The sequence below is a fragment of the Homo sapiens genome, chromosome 2, assembly GCF_000001405.40.
Source record: "Homo sapiens chromosome 2, GRCh38.p14 Primary Assembly".
NCBI lineage: Eukaryota > Metazoa > Chordata > Mammalia > Primates > Hominidae > Homo > Homo sapiens.
The window spans coordinates 214,150,585-214,172,845 of NC_000002.12; the positions used below are offsets into that span (position 1 = coordinate 214,150,585).

Here is a 22,261-nt window from a genome sequence, read left to right on the forward strand (position 1 = left end):
AAACATTTCACATCCTTAAATCCCTTTTTATTATCTTGAGCTAGCATTCAAGTATTCATGTCTTTGAATTTTGAACTCCGAAATTTCAAAATTTTGTCTGTACTTCCTAATAGTAGAAGTTAAAAGGTGCTTTGAAATATCATTACAATTAATAATAGCCATGTATTTTATTGTCATTAAATATGTTGCCACTTGCTCTTTGCCATCCTTGTCATCCAGCCCAAAAGTTATTTGCATACTTAGATAAACATGATTTTAAATAAATTACAGTACCTATCTTCTGTCATACAGGTCAGTGTGATTTTAAGGCCCTTGGTACATCAAACCTATTTTTTTCTCTCCATGACTGATATATACTTGGTGATACACTAATATTAAGAAAAGCATAAGAATCAGCAGTAGAACAGCAAGAAACATCAAAGACAACACGTATGAACGAGGGACTCTAATGAAAACACTTTATCAGTCTGAAGGAATATGATTTCAACCTGACCTTCCCATCCCTTTGACCATTTCTTTAAGGAACATACCATAATAAATTTTAGTTCCATGTGTGTGAGAAATTACTGTCATAAGGATTTTCTCATTGAATAATGAGAAATCTGTGCTTCTGTACAAGACAAGTCCTCAATGACTCTTCATTTAAAAGGTTGAATTATATCAAAAATTGAAGAAACTGGGGAAAACAAACATAAAATCTAATGAGAGAATGAAGAAAGAGGTGAAAGTCACAAAGTTAAGTGCTAGAAATTATGTTCATCTCAAGAGAGTAAAGAAGAGTGCAAATTAAGAGCCAAACAAAATTGAAATAAGGATGGGGCACATAGGTCTCTTCTAGTTGCATTTATTCAGGAAAAAAAATGATTTAAAGAGAAGTGTAACAAAATTGTATCATGAAAATATGAGAATAAAATAAAATCTAATTTAGTAATCTCAAAATACACATTCATTTGAATATACCTTTATTTATTCCCAGTGGCAAGCCAATACAAGCCTATATGATGTAATCTTTTTCAAAAAAAGCAAGAATATAATTGACCCTATTGGCAATAATGAACATGTATTGAGGGCTCACATTAGTTATGTCTAACCATTTTTTCTAGTCAAAACTCTGTGACAGAACTAAATTGTGCAGTTATATACACCTAGCGTGTTATTTGTCACAACTTATATAATGTGAGGCCAGGCAATGGTCTGCTGTCTCCGCTGTGCTCTTGGACTATTGAAAACACACATGTAATGTCATCATAATGTTATGTAACACATGTGGAATTATAAATAGCATCCTGTCTGAGATATTTCATATAAGGAATGTGGGTGGTTATTAGATACTTTAAGTGGCCATTACATAAAAGTTGCTAATAATATTTAATGTCTCTAGATCAGTTTAATTTAAGGGTGTCTCAAGGTTGTGAGGTGTACTGTTTAAAAAGAGTTATTTTCTTATGAAATGACAGATCTTTATAAATAAGGGATTTCTTATCACTGCAAATCCAACACAGTATAGGAATAAATTGAAAGTAGAGGTCATTAAAAGGCTGAAACTGTTATCTATAATCTTAAATTTCAAATTTTGATGTATAACAAAATTTTCTCTATTTATTAACCTCATAAGTAAATATTGCTTTTGTGGATTTATAAAAGTATATATGTACTAATAAATAGTACCTTATCTGTCTTAAAATAGAGATTATTCACAGAGTATCATTTTTAAAATGTAGCTTTGGCAAAAATGTTGGAAAACCAAAGGTGAAGAAAAAGAATATAGACTATATATTTCAGACCCTTAGGTTTAATCACATGTTCAGCACCTTTTAGACTTTAGGCACATTACCTATTTCTCCTCATGGAAATAATGGAAGAGACAATTGCCTTGCAGTGTTCTAACGTGGACTCAAAGGGATAATGATATTCTCTAATAAGGAACTCAGCATCTTCATCTACTGTAGGGACCAACCCCACAAGGTCGGTGGGTCTCTCCCTGTGTGCGGCGACGAGAGAGTGTAGAAATAAAGACACAAGACAAGGAGATAAAAGAAAAGACAGCTGGGCCCCAGGGACCACTACCACCAATGCGCGGAGACCAGTAGTGGCCCCGAATGTCTGGCTGTGCTGTTATTTATTGGATACAAAGCAAAAGGGGCAGGGTAAAGAGTGTGAGTCATCTCCAATGATAGGTAAGGTCACGTGGGTCACGTGTCCACTGGACAGGGGGCCCTTCCCTGCCTGGCAGCCAAGGCAGAGAGGGAGAGGAGACAGAGAGAAAGACAGCTTATGCCATTATTTCTGCATATCAGAGACTTTTAGTACTTTCACTAATTGACTACTGCTATCTAGAAGGCAGAGCCAGGTATACAGGATGGAACATGAAGGCGGACTAGGAGCTTGACCACTGAAGCACAGCATCACAGGGAGATGGTTAGGCCTCCGGATAACTGCGGGCAAGCCTGACTAGTGTCAGGCCCTCCACAAGAGGTGGAGGAGCAGTCTTCTCTAAACTGCCCCGGGGAAAGGGAGCCTCCCTTTCCCGGTCTGCTAAGTAGTGGGTGTTGTTCCTTGACACATTTCGCTACCGCTAGACCACGGTCCGCCTGGCAATGGGTGTCTTCCCAGACGCTGGCATCACTACTAGACCAAGGAGTCCTCTGGTGGCCCTGTCCAGGCATAACAGAAGGCTCGCACTCTTGTCTTCTGGTCACTTCTCACTGTGTCCCCTCAGCTCCTATCTCTGTATGGCCTGGTTTTTCCTAGGTCATGATTATAGAGTGAGGATTATTATAATATTGGAATAAAGAATAATTGCTACAAACTAATGATTATTGATATTCATATATAATCATATCTAAGATCTATATCTGGTATAACTATTCTTGTTTTATATTTTATTATTCTGGAACAGCTCGTGTCCTTGGTCTCTTGCCTCGGCGCCTGGGTGGCTTGCCACCCACAGTCTACCATGTTTTATCCTAGTGCTGAAGGGGTCTGAGAGGTCAACTCATTCCTTTTAGGGATGAGAGAAATTAAACATATTGGTGCACAAGAAAGATGCTTGAGGCTGGGTGCCACTGTAGAAGTTTTCTAGGGAAAGCATAAGTATTAATAAACAAATAATAAAAGAAACAAGGATCAAAACCTCACTTTTATGTAATATTAAAAATTGCTTAATCAGTAAAGTTATATGTAATGCGATATATACATATATATTTTAAGTCAAGATATAAACATATAGGAATCACCCCCTAGAGTTTAGCTTTTCCTGTTGCTGTAAAAAATCAGCCTCTCATACATTTAAAAAGTTGTATGTGGCACAGCATTATTTACATAATGTTTTATTATCAAATACATTGCTTGTGACAAACACAGATACATGTGTATAGTAGTATATATTTATATCCCAAGTATTTGTGAAGGGATAAGTGCTCCTTTCTCATTAAACAGAAAGCCTCCTGGTAATATAATGCTACACATTTTTGTGAACATTCACTACCTAAATAATGTCTCTCACCTGGCCTACTCAAAATGCCATATGTTTGATCATTCAAAAATTTATTGCTATTTCAGAAAATGTTAAATGGAATTGCGTAGTGAAAGTAATAAAAATGAACCATGAGAATTTATATACATACTTTTCCACGTCTCTCATTTCACCATGTTTATGTAGTTTAGCAATATTTTTCTCTCCTTTGTAAAACTAATTCCAGGAAATTTGCAAAGAAGTCACATCCTAAGTCCTAAGAAAATGCAGAAGCTGAAGTTTGAGCCAGATGGGCACTTTCCAGTAGAAAGCTTATCAGTATCAGATCATTAAAATGAGCAAAGTTTCCCAACATTATGTTCTCCACAATCGGAACCACAATAGAAATCCCAAAATGGGACGAAAATATGACTCCATTCAAAATGCAAAAAGTATCAGACCCCCCCCCCCCATTTTTTCATAACCTAACAAGATAACTCTAAAACCCTTGGTTCATATTTGATTCATCAGTTTCTTCTAGAAAAATCTACAGTTCATCATTTTTTATTTAATAGGAAATTTGCAGTTAATTCCCTCTGATAGAAGCAGTATAGTGTAAGGGAGAGAACATTTATTTAGAAGTTAGAAGCCCAAGTTTTGAATTTTCTCTCCACTAGTTACTAGCAAAATGATCCTGACAAAATTTCCAAATATTTCTGAGCCTCAGATTTTTTTTGTATTTAAAATGATAAAAATCTGTAGGGACTTCTACTACCAGACAAGATGTTGTAACAAAGACCAACCAGATTTATTCCTAACCTAAAACGATTGAAAGAAACAAAAATGTATGTACATATATGAAACAAGGGCTTTCAGACATGTAATATTTGGCAATAAAAAACTGTAATACCTGAGAGAGAGAAAGTAAACAAGGTGAGCCCTATGACTGCTCCAGAATATAGCCTGGAGAAAGTTTCTAGGTTTCAACTCAGGGATGAAGGGACTTTTGGCTAATTCCCAGAGTTGAAGAGCCAGTGGGTAGTCCAGGAAGGCCAAGGCAGCTTGAGTTTGCAGGGCAGGGTACAGGAGAGTTATGAGCCACACACAGAGAACTGGAGATCTGCAGAGTCCCCTCCAGTCTTCAGCTGGCTAAGAGTGAATACATGAAAGCCTGAGGCCAGAAAAAAATCTATCTTAAGCATTAGAAGGAAAATCCCAGGAGCTCACACAGGCCTGGAAATAATTTGTGTTCGCACCAACAAGAATGGGAAAACCTTACAATTCAAAAAGACAGCAGGTTGGCAAACTACTGCCCATGGGCCAGCTTGGCCTCTTTTCATATATGGAGCTTTATTGGAACACAACCTCGCTTATTTATTTACATATTCTCTAAGGCTGTTTTCAAACTACAACAGCAAGGTTGAGCATTTGCAGCAGAGATATATGGCCTGCAAAGTCTAAAAGATTTACTTTTTTTTTTTTAAAGACGGGGTCCTATGATGTTGCCCAGTCTGGTCTGGAACTCCTGGGTGCAAGCAATCTTCCTGCCTCAGCCTCCTGAGAAGCTAGGAAGACAGACACGTGACACCATGCCTGAGGGTAGCCTAAAATATTTACTATCTTGCTCTTTACATAAAAATAAAATTGCTGAGTTAGAGTGCTCAGAAGAATATCGCCTCCATAGTGAAGCAACATTAACTCACACCTCTGGATCTTGTCCTACACTAAAGTCTTTTGAACCACCGTGTTGGCTCATGTATTCACCTATTTAATTCTCACCCCAACTCAATGAGATTGTTACTCTTGCCCCTGTTTTATAGTTGAGAAAACTGAGAGACAAAGCATTAACAGGCCCACTGTCACCTAGCTGATTAAATGTGGAGTTGAAATTCAAATCCAGAGTCTAAATCCAGAGACTAAAATCTGTAAGTTTATGTTATTCTGACTCTTATTCTAATAATTGTATTTGGCTTTATATTGATACATGGCATCTGTTAGGAGAAATGATTCATTTGCTATGAATATTGAAATAGTCCCATTAATGACACTTAGTGATAGTTGACTCAAAGCTAAGACATGGAATCCTGTTATTGACATTAGTTTTCAATTAGTTGCCTCTGGAAGAAAACACTAAAAGAGAATCTCCCTAGTATTATCTTCCAGGTTTCTGATAGGTCTTATGTGCAAGAGGCATTCTCATTACATCTGTTTTCCTCCTGGGAGCTAGAACTCCAACCTTACACTGCAGTGTAAATTCCTATTCAAGGAATTAGGGCTGAATTTAGTTGTCACCACAACTCAAAATGAGATTGTTATTCTTGCTTCTGTTTTATAGTTGAGAAAACTGAGAGACAAAGACAGCCAGCACCTCCAGAGCACTTTTTTGTCTTTTATTTAAGGCCTGGTCTGCTTAAAAATAATTATTAAAAACTGAAATAGGAAAAGAAGAAAGTGGACTGGGCCAGGCATGGTGGCTCACACCTGTAATCCGAGTACTTTGGGAGGTTGAGGAGAGAGGATCTCTTGGCCAGGAGTTTAAGACTAGCCTGGACAACATAGCAAGATTTGATTTCTACAGAACATTTTAAAAATAGGCAGATATGGTAGGACAACAGTAGTCCCAGCTACTCAGGAGGCTGAGGTGGGAGGATCCCTGAGCCCAGGTTGCAGCAAGAGGATGGCTGAGCCCAGGTTGCAGTCAACTATAGTCCTGCCCCTGTACTCTAACCTGGATGAGTGAATGAGACCTTGTCTCTAAAAAACAAACAAACAGACAAAAAATAATTTAAAAAGAAGAAGAAAGCAGGCCAACTTGTTTTATCTCTAAAGCATAAGGCAGATCCAAACTAAGATGTTCTTCCGAAGAACAAGCCCATTCTACCACATCTGGACACAGAGCTGTAAGAGGAGAGGATAAAATACAAGAGAGAAAAGGTGACCAGGTGGTCCTTCTGAATTATTTTACAATCCCATTATTTCATTACCTGTTGAGTGACCCTATTGTATATGCAAATCCATTTTGTTCTTAAGTAGAATTTGGGCCTCACTGATTCTGGAGAAAGGAACTGGAGAAACTGAAGGATGTCAGACTATGTGGCTCTTTGGATGCACAAGTCTATGACTAATACCTGGAATGAGGTATGCTATGCTCCAGGAATCATGCTTCCTTTTTCAATCACCGCAGCACATGAGTTGGGTTTCCTTCCTCCCATTTTAAAGTTTTAAGAGATTTAATTACATGTGTATATTAATAAATACACATGTTCTTACAGTTCTGTAAAAGTCAGAATTGCATTTCATTAAAATGTAATTTTAATGTAATGTAAATTAGGAACTGTACAGTAAAAAAAACTGTTATGCTTTATCTGGAAATTTAACTATTTTTCTCTTTGATTTTGTCTTCTTATCCCCTAGGCTAGAAGCAATTTTATTTATCTGCCAGCAAGTATGGAAAATAACATATTAATAATAATGGGGACACCTTGAAAACTTTAACTAAAAACAACCAAAAATATATTAATTTAGGGATAATAGTCATAGTTGTGCAGTTTTATAACCATAAACCTGTTCTGATTTGTATAATGTCCATTCTGATTGGTTGGTGATCATGTCATATCAGTTATTAAATATTTAGACTATCCTAATGATGACTCATAAATTATGATAACTAAAATGCATTTCAATTGCATGATTTATGATAGATTAATATAAATTAAAGTTATTGACTTCTACAAAATATAATTTATTCAGGAAACGAAGTCTTGTTCCTTTCTGATATCAGGCTTGAAAGATTGTATACTTAATCTAATGATAACATCATTGCACAAATTATGAATCCTCCCTTTTGTAATTGTCTTCACAACTTTAAGCACAATGTTTTAAGGTTCCCCAATACCCACAAATCTTTTCTCTGAGTCTAGACTGAATTTTCAGAAACATCGAGAAATTATTCATGTCTCCATCAGAAAAGGACATTTGAATCAGGAACAAACGAGGGTCTAAACAGTAAAATTGTTGTTCATCTGTGATTTGTAATATGAAATTGAGTAGGACACTTAACCTCTCTTGACCTCAACTTTATCATGAATAAAATACAGGTTTTGATTAGGTGACGTTATCAATTAGGTTCACAGCCTAAGTTTTAAACAATTGCATTTTTTCCTATGTTTAGAATAATTAGAACATGATATCCTGAGTCAAACATAATATTCTAAAATAAAATTTAAATGCTCCTCTATGCTATTTTAAACTTGAAAATAAAACATCAAAATGTAAGTAAAACATTCCACTTTTCCTCGATCCAAAACAGAAATAAAATTTGATATAAAAATATTATTTAAAAATTGAGCCCCAAACATAAATGGCAGCTGTATTGCTCAGCAAGACTAAATTGTTATTCTCGCATACCTCACAACACGGTCTCTGTAGCAACAGGAATTTTGAACAAAAAAAATGCATAAATTCCAACATTTTAATAAATTAAATTAATGACTGGATCAAAGTCTTCTTACAGGACTATATAAGAACCTGACTCATTCTGATTAAATCAGAGCCGAAAAATAACTTTACAAATTGCAGCATTATGCAGGTGCAGTCAAAGGAGTGTCATTGGTTAATTCCTTAATTTGGGGTAGTATTTTTAAAATAGGTATATTTATAATTTTTGTTTAGCGCTCTGATACAGTTACATAAAAGTATAATTGTAATAATATAATTGGAACGCTATAGGTATAGACAATCAAAAGGTGCTTGGAAATATTTTCCTACTTAAATACCTCCTTGGAAATTGTTTACAAAGCAACTATATAACGATGCACACAGTTATATAAAAACAATTTTAATCTAGCACATGCCCAAATAATGATGAATTCTAAATTAGTGTAATCATATTTAGTGAAGATATATGTATATAAACAATGTGCTAATGCCAAATTATTTTTCAACACATTTAAGAAATTCAAAAGATTTGTATCTATGTGGCAAGTATGAGAAATTAGTTGCGTAACTATACACATCTTAGTATCATCTAGGCAAGAAACTACTCCAGTGCATATAATTAGCTATGCTGGTATGTTTGCAGATATAATAAAAATTACATGTATAGGCTGGCATAGGTCATTTTGAAACATGAAAAGATGACATTCTTCATACATACTTTAATCAATAGAAATAAATTTATACAAAGAAAGAAGAGATAATTAGACCTTTTACTTTTTTCCTAAGGAGCAGTTATTACATTTAAGAGGAATGTGTTATTTAGATCTAATAGCATATACTAGTCATTAGATTGAAAATCAAGAGTTAAAATTTGCAGTGCACACATACTGCATGACCCAAAGTCAAGTAGCTCAAGAATTTGTCATCTTTTTAATAGACTGTGTATACAAAATTGAATAGATAATCATCTTTAGTCTGCCAAGCTGATACTTTTTAATAGGATAATCCTTTAAGGGAAGCTGTAGTTCAACAGATGTGCAAATCAACCCAGAACAAATAGCACACTACTCTTGGAGATAGAGCCTGCACAGTTGGCACTTGTGATAACTTGTAGTTATATTTATCTAAAATTGAATTTCAAACTATATTCAAATATGATTTACTCAAATCTGATTGAACTCAGAAGTATATTTTCTCACTTGTTCTATAAGAGAAGTGTAAATAAAAATTGTTTAAAGTCATCTTCATGTAACATCTCCTACCATGCACTCTATCACCAATAGAAAAAATAATTGAAAGGAATAAATAGCATATTGTTATTATGAAAATCAATACTCTGTAAATATTTTGAAATAATGATAAGCATCTTTGAATAATAGACATACATTTCAGACCATGTCTTCTATCCAAAAATGTTATCATTCCCTCTCTTATATATCTGTTGGTCTAACAGTGAGAATTATGTTAATTCGGTTGACAAATATTTAATGTAAGCCTACTATATGCCAGGCACTGTTCTAAATTCTAGGATTCAGTGTTAAAGAGATAGAAAATACTCTATTTACAAAGCAAATTGAAACAATAGACATGAATTTGCAGGTAATGACTAGGAGTATTGCAAACAAACTGTTCCACATGTTATATGCTACATGTGTCATCTGAGTGCTGTTTGTAAAGAATAGCATGTATTTGAAGGTGGAGAAAAAAGATGGGCATTCCTATAATATTAGCTATATAACCACCTAATTCTCTTCTAATGGACTCAATTAAATTAATGGACTCAGTAATTAGTGTAAGTTTTGATTATTACTGCTTTTTTGTTTTATCCTTTATGCCTTTCATAATATTTGATTTTTTTCTTGTATTTATACTACTTTAGGTACCATTTTTCCTTATCCAAATTTGGTTGTAACAGTGGATCCTTCTGCTACTTGTGCTTATTTTCCTTCTACTTCTTTTGCTGTTCTTACTCCCCCTTAGCTCCTTTCTCTGTAATCATTTTTATCATCCTTTTTTTTCTTTTTCATCAGGTACAAATAACTGAATTAATCATACTTCTCAGTATGTGATAAACTTATTAATCTCCTTTTATGTGCCGTTCCTACTTTCATTCTTTCCCATTCTCCATGGAAGTTTTTAAATGTCTTTAATATGTTCTCTTAGATCTGCAGATATCCTTGAAGAACGTATATATAGAGAAAATTATTCTGTGTATGTACGTATGTAAGTTTCTAAAAACTATGTTTTGCTATGCATTCCATTCAATTTCTTGCTTTTTCATTTTACAGCATGTTCTTACATTTTACCCACATTAATATATGCCTATCAATTTAATCAATTCTGTCTACTTGATAGTATTTCATATTATTCATCTTACTATTTTATTTATCCATTGCTGTAATGATGGATGCATAATTTTCCTATAAGCCCCTTGCTACCTAAAGGCATTCTGCACTAAACATTTTTCTCAAACAGAAGTTTACTGATTTCATCTAGAATGTCTTTTATTAAATTGAAATATTTAGATTATATTGAGTCAATTGTTCAGCTCCCACTTATAAGTGAGAACATGAAGTGTTTGGTTTTCTGTTCCTGCATTAGTTTGCTGAAGATAATGGCTTCCAGCTCCATCCATGTTTCTGCAAATAACATGATCTTGTTCCTTTCTATGGCTGCATAGTATTCCATGGTGGAGATGTACAACATTTTCTTTATCCAGTCTATTATTGATGGGCAATTAGATTGATTTCATGTTTTTGCTATTGTGAATAGTGCTGCAATGCATATATGTATATATGTATCTTTGTAATAGAATGATTTATATTCCTTTGGATATATACCCAGTAATGGGATTGCTGAATCAAATGGTATTTCAGGTTCTGGATCTCTGAGAAACTTCCACATCATCTTCCACAATGGTTGAACTTATTTACATTCCCACCAACAGTGTAAAAGCATTCTTATTTCTACACAACCTCACCAGCATCTGTTGTTTCTTGACATTTTAATAATTGCCATTCTAACTGGCATGAGATGGTATGTCATTGTGGTTTTGATTTGCCTTTCTCTAATGATCAGTGATGTTGAGCTTTTTCTCACATGTTTGTTGGTGGCATGACTGTCTTTTTTGGGAAGTGTCTGTTGGACAGTGAGAGCACATGGACACAGGGAGGGGAATAACACACACTGGGGCCTGTAGAGGGGTGGGGTTGATGGGTAGAGAGAGCATTAGGAAAAATAGCTAACCCACGCTGGGCTTAATACCTAGGTGATGGGTTGATAGGTACAGCAAACCACCATGGCACACTTTTACCTGTGTAACAAACCTGCACATTATGCACATGTACTCCAGAACTTAAAATAAAAATAACTTTAAAAATAAATTTAAAAAATTTTTAAAAAATTAAAGAGTCAAAACTATTTTGTTTGTCTTTGTATTTTTTTGGAGGAGGGATTGCTGAAGAATATCAACCCTGCTGTTAGGTCACAAAAATATTCTTCTCTTCTAGCATCTTTCTCTTTTAGCTTTACGTTGGTAGCTTTTACATTTTAGGTCTTTAATCCGAGGTGCAAGGGAGTGTTATCAGTCCATTTTTCCTGCAATAACAAAGAAACCCAGGATCTTCCTGACTTATAGAAGCATTTGTTTCTCGTTCCCTTATCAGAAAGCTTCAGGACAGTTCAAGGCTGACTTGCTTTCCTGGGCTCAGCCTAATGCCATGTGTCTGATTTCAGATCCCAGGACCTTTTGGTGGGACATGTCCTCATAGAATGAGCAGGTCAAATGAAAAACCAAACTTGTGCAATCACATTTAAATCTTTTTTGAGATGTCACAAATTTTAAGTCTGTTTAACATTCCATTGACCATAAGAAGGTCATAGCAAGTTATAAACCAAGTACAAAACCACTGAGATGGGGACATATATCCTATTACTACAGATATCAAAGACAAGTTTCATGGTAATAGGTGGAGATTTTTAACCCTATTACAGGGAAGAAGTAAGTACTGGGAACAATAATGACTATAGAGGGAGATTCAACTTTATTTCTCTTTCTAATAAGTCAGTTTTCTTAACACCACCAACTCTACTATTGAAACTTGTCTCGTTGATTTGTGATGCCACTTTTATTAGAGATCAACTTCAAACCAATAGACACATCATTTTCTGAATTTTCCTTTCTAATATGCTGGTAACATTGCCTGTTTCTGATCTAGCACAATACTGTTTTTGTTGCCGTGATGTTCTAGTATTGTCTGCTTAATATCTAAATGAAGCCACACTCTTTGTACTTCTTTTTAAAAAGTATCCATTGAGTTTTCTATTTCTTGAGACTTTTGGAGTTATCCCTTTTAAAATTTCAAACTGTATTTCAATCTGTTAGAGAACATGATCTGCATTAAGTTCATCTTCTATGCAAATATAGACAATTTGTTCACTGCCCCTTGTTTAGGCAAAAAATGCATTTCTGTGCAGCAATTGGTTGATTCAAAAAATTTATAGAACTTTCAATTTAGCTTATTAACTAGTTATTCAAATAATTTATACAATTTATTTTTTGACTGCTTGAGATCTCAGTTTCTGACATGCATATATTAAAATCCTTAACCACAAATGGTAACTAATTTATCCATATAAATCTGTCAGTTTTCACTGTATGTATTTTGAGGCTATGTTTCCAGATACATATATATGAATAATCATTATACATTCTTGATCTTTTTTCCCTTTGTCAAATATAACATCTCTTTCATGTGATTTTGCCTTAAGTTCTATTTTATCTCACATTAAAGTTGGCAAACCTTTTTATGTCATATTTTCCAAGTAATCTTTTCCATACCTTTACTTTCCATACCTTTTTATGGCAATTTGTTTTTATTTATTTTTGTTTTTCTCCCCAATCTGATATTTATATTTTTGAGATGGTTAATTTACTCATAATAGTTGCATTGTTTCCTACATCAGTATGCTTGCTTAGAAAAATTTTTGTATTGGTCAGTATTCTCCAGATAAACAGAACCAATATGTGTGTGTATATATAAGAATGTATGTGTATGTATATATGTGTGTGTGTGTGTGTGTCTGTGTATATGTGTGTGTGTATATATATATACACACACATATATACATATATATATACACACATATATACATATATATATAGAGAGAGAGAGAGAAAGAGAGAGAGAGGAAAAGATTTATTTTAAGGAATTAGCTTATGTGATTGCGGGGGCTGGCAATTGTGAATTCACAGGTTAGGCAAACAGTCTAGAGGCTCAGAAAAACTTGATATTGCAGCTCGAGTCCACAGGTAGTATAGAAGCAGAATTCCTTCTTTCTTGAGGGCCTTAGTCTTTCTTTATTAACGCTTTCAACTGATTGGATGAAATCATTGGATTGGATGAGGCCCACTCACATTATGGAGGGTAATCTGCTTTACCCAAAGTCTGTGAGTTCAAGTACTAATCACGTCTTTAAAAAAAATACCTGTACAGCATTATCTACACTAGTGTTTGACCAAATACCGGGTACCATATGTACAATGGCCTATCCAAATTGACATATAAAATTAACCCTCACAATGCTACATTGTGATTGTCTTGACCTTGTCTTTCCCTTGATGATCTTATTTCTTTCAGGAAATATTTACTATGCCCTATTCTAGACAGTAAAAATAGAGCAATGAAAAAATATATCTGCTCTCATAGAACTTACATTCTACTTGAGAAAGAAGGTTCAGTGAATGGGAGGTGGATGATAAATAGCTACCGAAATTAATGCCAACATATTTGCCAAGTGGTGATAAGTCTTATGAAAAATTAAGACAAGTTAAGAGAACAAAGAGTGATGAAGTGGAATATTACTTTAGAAAGGATGTTCTGAGATTACTTCTCTATGAAGTGATACACATGAGCAGACACCTGGATGAATTGAGGGAATCAGTCAAATGGTTATCAGCAGGAAGAGCATTCCAGAAAAAAAACAGCAGTGCAAAAGATTTAAATCTAAATTATGCTTTTTGTGAGTGAGATTGGATAAGGAAAACTATGAGAGATGGATCAAAGTGTTAGCCAAGGGCAGATTATGGATGGTCTTGACTGTGGCACCAACGCTGGTCTTTATTCTAAAAAGAAGAAATAATTATAAGTTAGCTCAATTTTTTAAATGCATGTACATTTGATGGGGTATAGGTAAATTAAAATCTTGCCAAGAGACCAACACATGCAACTTAAAAGAGAGCTAATATATTTGATCTCAAATAAAAGAACAACCAATGAATTTGTCTGCTATTAATTATGGATGATCAATCCACAGCAAATCATTCCTATTTATGTCTAAAGACATGGTGGGACTTAAATCAGAGACTTAACAGTATAAAATGGTGTAGAAATTTAAATGCTCCGGACACTGCTAAGAGACAGCAATTAATAATATCATGTAATGAAAAATTTTGTAAACTACTCTTATATTCTTGTATAAGGGCTATTAGATGTTCTGCTGAGGAGGAGATAGTTCATGAGTTTGCTACTTTCTAGTTCCACATCAATGGATAATTTCTCCCTCTTTACTGTATGGAAATTTATAATATGTAGACATTTTGATGTTGATAACATTTAGAAGTGTTTAATTTTTAGTATTATCAGCCTGACAGACATAAGTTTTATTAAATTAGTTTGAGAATCTCTTTGAAGATATTTGCATCTGCATAAGTTTGCATGAAAAAAAAGTTTGCATTTTAGGGGGAAAACTATTATATCAGTGAGAATTTTGGAGTATTTTGCTTATTCTTTCTGGAACTTTGAAGTAATGTGAAATAGTGTTTAGAAACCTCATCTCAACGTAGGGGGCTTCTTAGTAATAATACACTGTATCTGCATACCCGTTTATAGGTTTTAATCCAATTCATTCCACCAACATATCTTCTAATGCTTAGTCCTGTTGTCTTCTCATGATCAAAAATGACCCCTTTTAAAAATGCTTTGCATCACCATCCTTTTTTTTTTTTTTTTTTTTTTTTTTTTTTTTTTTTTGCCAAAATTGACATCCAGTTTGTTTTAAGACAGTTTCATTAGGTCATATGTCTAGATTTGTTACCTCCATTCTTCCTCTGCCTGGGCCTAAACTATTCTATAATTTTTCTCTGTCCCCACTGCCCCCCACCCCCTTGAAATCATAGTCAACAATTAAACTTTGCTACTTATAAGAAAGACTTGACCTGGCTTTGGGACAGCCAACTGAGCATAAAGTGGTGAATATGCTGTTGAGAGTAGTGCTTATAACCCCATCATATGTCAGTCAACCAGATTAGCATACTGCTCCACTATTTTCATTAATGAAGGCAGAATTTGTGTTAAGAAAGCCATATTTGCTACAATTCAAAGTCAATTAGCTTTCTCGTGAAAAAATGAGTTTCTCATTTAGGTGCTTAATGTTAAAATAAAGAGGGCATTGTTCATATTAATTATAAAATAATTCAAAAAGACATCTCTAGACACCAATCAGGAAAAGATAATCACTGAAGATTATCTGAAAATAAATTAAATGTCTAAGCATAAGTCTTGTTCAAATATAATATCTCAAATCCATGCAATGGAATACCATGTGACTATTAAAATGTCATAAATGTGCATATAATGAAATATAAAGATAGATTTTCATAGTACATAGTGAAAACAAAGGCAGTGGAAAAATGGGATATAGGATGTAACTTCACAATAATCATCTAGATAGAGAGGTATATAGACAGGATGCTGTGCTGCTCATTCTCCATTGGCCCCATTCCTCCACTCATCCATTCTATGTTCTTCTCTGCCTTCCTCTATTCCCTGGGAGGCTGACTTGCCTATTGACTTGTGTTTGGAATTGACGAATGGGAGGCACTTACAGGAGAGTGAAGGGCAGGAAGAGAGGGAGATTGGAGCATCTACTCCCTCCACGCCCCCGGGCTCGGGTGCACTTGCACAGTGGCTGCATTACTCTCCAGCTACAGCTCCCATCAGGCCGACTTACTCCTGAGACTGGTTCTCAGCCAGGCTCCTGTTAGGCCATTTTCTCTCCTCAAGCCTAGTGTCAGTAACAACTCTTCACTGCTTCTAATTTACATATGTATTTCCTTAATTTATTCCTCTATCTTTACCCCTTGGTAAATATTTAGTCCCTTCATTAATAAGTCTCTTTAAAACTTCCCTCTGAGAGTGGGCTCTTTGTTTCCTGGCGGGGCCCTGACCGACACAGTTGCTCATAAAAGGCCTGGCATGCTAACCACTACAATGTGCGTAGGCATTCTCTGAGAAGTGTTTTGCCTTTTGTTCTAAATTTTCTAAAGTGAATATATAACGAGTTTTCAATATTAAGAAAATCAAGTAAAAATGTTTCTGTACATGAAAGAGAAAAAATGAAAATAAATAATGCTAGTATGAAACCAAGAAGAGCTGGTATCTTTTTAACTTGTTTTAATTGGCCATATTGGTCTTAAGGACCTCCCACATCTAACACTAAGTCTTACCCATCTCCTCCCAAATGAGTTAGAAAGAGAGGAGGAGAAGGGCAGATGAAGAAGACTCAGCTGAAGCCAAGTGAAAGTTAGCATTTATACCTAATGGAAGTTAATAAAGCTTAACTCCTTGGACTTCACATATGTCTGGAAGGAAGAGATTTTCCACTCTACTGTCAGGGTTAAAACACTTACATAGCATAATTCTAACTCCGGCTCTGTCCCTCCTTCCTCTCTCCCTCTATGAAAGTGGTATCTATCTTGGTAACTGGTGTCATTGAATAGCCTCTACTTGTGCCGCTCTCCTTGGAAAAACTTGTCATCTAGTCACACAGGTTCTTCCATCTATTACTGCCAGCAGACAGCACCAGCAGTGGAGGCCTGAGTTACCACAATGCTGCCAATAATTAGGTGGGCATGGTTCATTCACTGTGGGGAGTGTTAGGATGCCCATGAGCCAACAAATTTGTGTTATGTGTTCAGCTTGGCCTTATCACATTTTAGCTGCATTCTGTTCTCCCTATAAATCCTGTGCCTTTTCCTGGGGGTGGTTCCAAACTGGAGAAGGAAAGGAAAGGATACTTTACTGATGTTCTCAAAACACAGTAACATTTAGATCCCTTCTATATGCCCACAGGAGGCAATATTTTTTTAAATGTGTATTTTTGTTATTCTAAATGTCTTATAATTACTGCAGTCATTTTTGAAAAGAATATGAAACACATGTAAAAGAAAAATCATGAAATCATAAAAGAGTTAATTGTATACTTTTTATGAAACTATAAAATCACTATATAATATATATTTGATAATATAATGTTTTCAGTCTAATTATATACTTTTTTTTTTTCATTTTAGTTATGTACAGGGACAGTAGAACAGTTAGGAACCAAGGTCTCCAGAGTGACACTGACTGGTTTTGAATCTAGATTCTACCACTTATTCATTCTCTAACCTTGGGCAAATTCCTTAATTTTTCTTTTCTTTTTCTTTTTTTCTGTTTTCTTTTCTTTTTTCTTTTTCTCTTTTTTTTTTTTTTGAGATAGAGTCTTGCTCTGTCACCCAGGCTAAAGTGCAGTGGTGCCATCTGAGCTCACTGCAACTCCGTCTCCCGAGGTCAAAGGATTCTCCCACCTCAGCCTTCTGAATAGCTGGGATTACAGGCATGCACCACCACACCCAGCTAATTTTTGTATTTTTTTTGTAGAGATGGAAATTCACCATATTGGCCAGGCTGATCTCAAACTCCTGACCTCAAGTGATCTGCCTGCCTCAGCCTCCCAAAGTACTGGAATTACAGGTGTGAGCCACTGCGCCTAGACAGTTCCTTAATTTTTCTATGCTTAAGTTTTCGCCTCTGTAAAATGAGAATAACAAAATAGTGCATGTTGTTTTTTGTGAGCCTTAATGAAATATTCATATAAACATGGTGAATAAGGCATAAGTCTCTGCCCTTATTGTTTACACAGAGAAGCAGAAAATTAACTACCTCTTTCTTTCTGTCTCTGTCTCACACATGACACGCACGCACACACATGCACACACACACACATTCATAAATGGTATAAGCAAAATAAAGCCATGTTAAGTATACACAGTGAAAGAGTGGATAGTCATATTTTAGATAAGATGTGCAGGAAAGGCCTCTGAGAAAAAGCAACTTTCCTAACTGAGGAAGCAAGTCATGCACAGGTCTTGGCAAGAACATTTCAGGCTGAAAGTTCCAGGAGGCAGACCATTAGTTAAAAAAATGTTGCAGAGGTCCACGTGATTAGAGTGGAATGAATAAGGAAATTAAGATAACGCTGAATCGATTACCTGAGAGCAAAGGGGAACAAACCCCCCGGGTAGGTTCCAGACTCAGTATCTGAGAACTTCCAAAGGATGTGGTACTATTTTACTTAATGGTGGGAAACTGTGACAAGGTAGCCTGAGCAAGTGTTGTTACTTCAAATGCAGCTATCTCACCAGCAGGATTTTGTGTATGGAATACTACAATTAAACATTGAATTAAATATTTTATGTTGTTTCCAAAACTAAGTCATTATGATTGTGTATGATATATCCCAATGTTTTCTATTAATGGTTTCCAGAAACACCATCTTTCTTTTGTAGGTTAGAACATTATCATATGAAATAAGATGCCAAGAAAAGAACTTGTTATATCACGTAACTCATAATTTGATAATCCTTGAGTATTCATAATTAAATTGAAAAAGTCATTATTTCTTGGACTATAATAGTATCTGAGATGTAAATTAATGTATTTATTTGTTACTAACCAATATAATTTAATTTTATACCACTTTAACTCCCCATTTTGTGTTAAAAAAGAACACAATCATAATTTGACTCCTTTATTCAAAGGAAGTAAATTGAAATTCAAAGTGTTGCGCTTAAAAGTGAGTTGGTTAGTGTTTAACTTTCTTTTGAGCACTTCTGTCCCCAAAGCCGGTCAGTACTTTGCATTTTGGTCATTTTTCTTTTGCTGAGATAATGAGGGTGGGGACTCTTTACAACTGCAGGCAATTGCTTTGAGCTCCGAGCACTTTGAAGAGATTAGCCCCATTGATATTCTCTCCAATATTTTTGGAGAGAAATGCTGCCTTCCCTTGAGTGTAAGACGAACGGCTGTTGAATAGAAACTTCTTTTGTCTAGCAGAGAGTATGGTAATACATATTCTCTTCTTAGAGACATATATACAACATTAGAAAGTTATCTAAGATGATTGGGAGCCTCACTACACTGACTTGTTAATTTTGTTTAAACTTTCAGTTAAATGTGGTCTCATTTACCTGGAAAGTATCCTTAAAGCGTTTGAGCCTGGATTGTATTGCTATTAAGCCAGTGAACTTGGTGATGAACAAGTTAATTATCCTGGGGATAAAAAGGGAAAACGGCATAATTTCTGCCAGCAATACAGTGAAAAATATATGAGTGAACTATTTGGAGGCCTGCCCACTCAGTAGGACTTAGCTGGCCAGTAACCTGATCTCTCTGGTTTGAGTTCATCAAAGACATTTCTTTGATCTAAAAATGTTACAGAATGCTAAAATTCAGATGAAGCCATATAAATAATATAAATTTTATACCACTTGACTCCACATGCATTATGTTTTTGTTTCAGAGAGGTTCAGTTAGCAAAAATATCAATTCAAATGACTTTTCTGTCATTAAAAAAATGCCTTTTGTGGGAGAGGGATACACATACACTTAGGTGTGTATACATATACACACACACTTAGGTGTGTATACGTATACACACACACTTAGGTGTGTATACATATACACACACACTTAGGTGTGCGTACATATACATACACATATAAGATATAAATTAAAATAAAATTAATTAAATATATATTTAATTTCATTGCTGCAATTCTACCTAGTGTCTCACATAAATACAAGATCATCATCTACTGATTAGCTTGCTCCTGCAGACAATCGGATAGATACTAAAACCTCCTGAAGGTCATCATAACCTCATTTTCTGAAAGCATCCCTTGAAGTTCAATAGCTTAGAAAGTTTCTGTTGCATTTGTGTCCCTTGCTGGGTTGTATATACATAAAAAGGGATATTACTTTCATTCAGAGAAGATAATAAAACCTTGTGATTTAGGAAACAGGGTTATCATCAAATAAGCCTTTTATTTATGCTATTCAGACTGCCTATCTTCAGGATATCGCAAGTACTGATCAATTTCAGGTCAATTGGATGTGTGAAATAGAAGTGTTGTGGTATAAGCTCATGATTATGTCCTGTAGCTTGAAACAGTGAATTTGATTACATGACATGTTGCTGTACCCTCTTTGGTCTTATTGTCTGCACACTTCAAATAATCTACCTGTGCCAACTCTAACAGCCCATTTCATTCTCTAGGAAATAACCTTGATATAACTCTAACCATTTCTTCATGGTGTTAGAAATTATAAACTCATACCACCTTCATCCTTAGAACTTTTTAACTCTAGTCCCAATATCATTATCCAGGATTCTGGGCAGGCTGCCATATAGCACTGTGATGGATAAATACAAATGGGTGTGGGATTTGCTGAAGGGTGTCTAGGCTCAGAAAATTGCCATTGTGCCTTTACATCCAAGAGCGCCTCACAAGATTACAATATTTTGTGACTCCTTAACCTTGGAAACTAGAGTCCATGAGACTTTTCTAAGATCATAACAACTTTCAGGAAAGGAGATAATTTTCTGTACCTCAGAAAATTCTGAGGTACAGGTCTGGCCACTTTTACTTCAGGCCACCACCTTAGTTACACTGGACCTTAATTATCATGGCAAAAATGTGAAGCATCAATTTTTGACTCCTTTACATTGAAATAGATAGTTTATGGGTGCTTAGACTGTCAAAGCTCTCCTTTATCAGTGTTCTTTTCTCTAATTTACAAAATATATTTTGTTGTTTTGTTGCACTTTGCTGAGTTATTTATATTCCCCTTGTACAGATGCTAGCATATCAATAAATAGTTTATATATTTTATAACATCACAGAAAACATTTATTGAGGGCCTTTGACTCTAGTCATTATCATTACTTTTCACAAACTTGCAAGATGATTTCTAAGAAATTCTCATTAAACTCTTTTAAAGTTTAAATTCGAACATATTTTCTCAGCAACTTTTCTTTGCTTTTAAAGAACTTTGGCTCCTTGCACTAACAGAATACCATCAAATCAGTTCTACTCCTATGTAGTAAGACAAATTTTATCTTTTTCCATAGAATTGAATAATTTCATGATACTAGTTTAAGAATAAGGCTTGAAGATGCTGATTTGCAACTGATACTGGTGCATCAAGTATCATAAAATTCCTTAAGAACAATAAATAAGTAAACATATATTTTAAGTGAAAAGTTATTAATGTTTTTTTCTTTTTAAAATACATTTTATTGTGTATATTTGAGATTTACAACATGATGTATGGGGTACATATAGATAAATGGTTACTATAGTGAAGCAGATCAACATATTCATCACTTTACGTAATTACTTTTCTGAGACAAGATCAGCTAAAATCTACTTATTTAACAAAAATATCTAACATAGAATTGCATCTCATGTTACACATTAGATCTCTGATTTATCCTGCATACTTTGTTTTTTTTTTAAATTTTATTATTATTATACTTAAAGTTTTAGGTTACATGTGCACAATGTGCAGGTTAGTTACATATGTATACATGTGCCATGCTGGTGTGCTGCACCCATTAACTCGTCATTTAGCATTAGGTATATCTCCTAATGCTATCCCTCCCCACTTCCCCTACCCCACAACAGTCCCCAGAGTGTGATGTTCCCCTTCCTGTGTCCATGTGTTCTCATTGTTCAATTCCCACCTATGAGTGAGAACATGCGGTGTTTGGTTTTTTGTCCTTGTGATAGTTTACTGAGAATGATGATTTCCAATTTCATCCATGTCCCTACAAAGGACATGAACTCATCACGTTTTATGGCTGCACTGCATAGTATTCCATGGTGTATATGTGCCACATTTTCTTAATACAGTCTATCATTGACGGACATTTGGGTTGGTTCCAAGTCTTTGCTGTTGTGAATAGTGCCGCAATAAACATACGTGTGCATGTGTCCTTATAGCAGCATGATTTATAGTCCTTTGGGTATATACCCAGTAGTGGGATGGCTGGGTCAAATGGTATTTCTAGTTCTAGATCCCTGAGGAATCGCCACACTGACTTCCACAAGGGTTGAACTAGTTTACAGTCCCACCAACAGTGTAAAAGTGTTCCTATTTCTCCACATCCTCTCCAGCACCTGTTGTTTCCTGACTTTTTAATGATCACCATTCTAACTGGTGTGAGATGGTATCTCATTGTGGTTTTGATTTGCATTTCTCTGAT

General features: G+C 35.0%; 1 protein-coding gene across 14 annotated transcripts in view; it reads left to right on the top strand.

The window, feature by feature from the left end:
* The window catches only part of SPAG16 (sperm associated antigen 16), a 1,126,038-nt gene that overhangs the window by 866,121 nt on the left and 237,656 nt on the right, over positions 1 to 22,261 (top strand). The window contains exon 16 of one of the 14 annotated variants that reach the window (XM_011511816.4): positions 292 to 454. The exons of the other annotated variants lie outside the window; for them this stretch is intronic. Within the exon in view, the coding sequence (XP_011510118.1) occupies positions 292 to 350 (59 nt within the window). The 3' untranslated portion in view covers positions 351 to 454. Of the gene's footprint in view, positions 1 to 291; positions 455 to 22,261 lie in introns of those variants that run through there. 14 annotated transcript variants of the gene reach the window in all.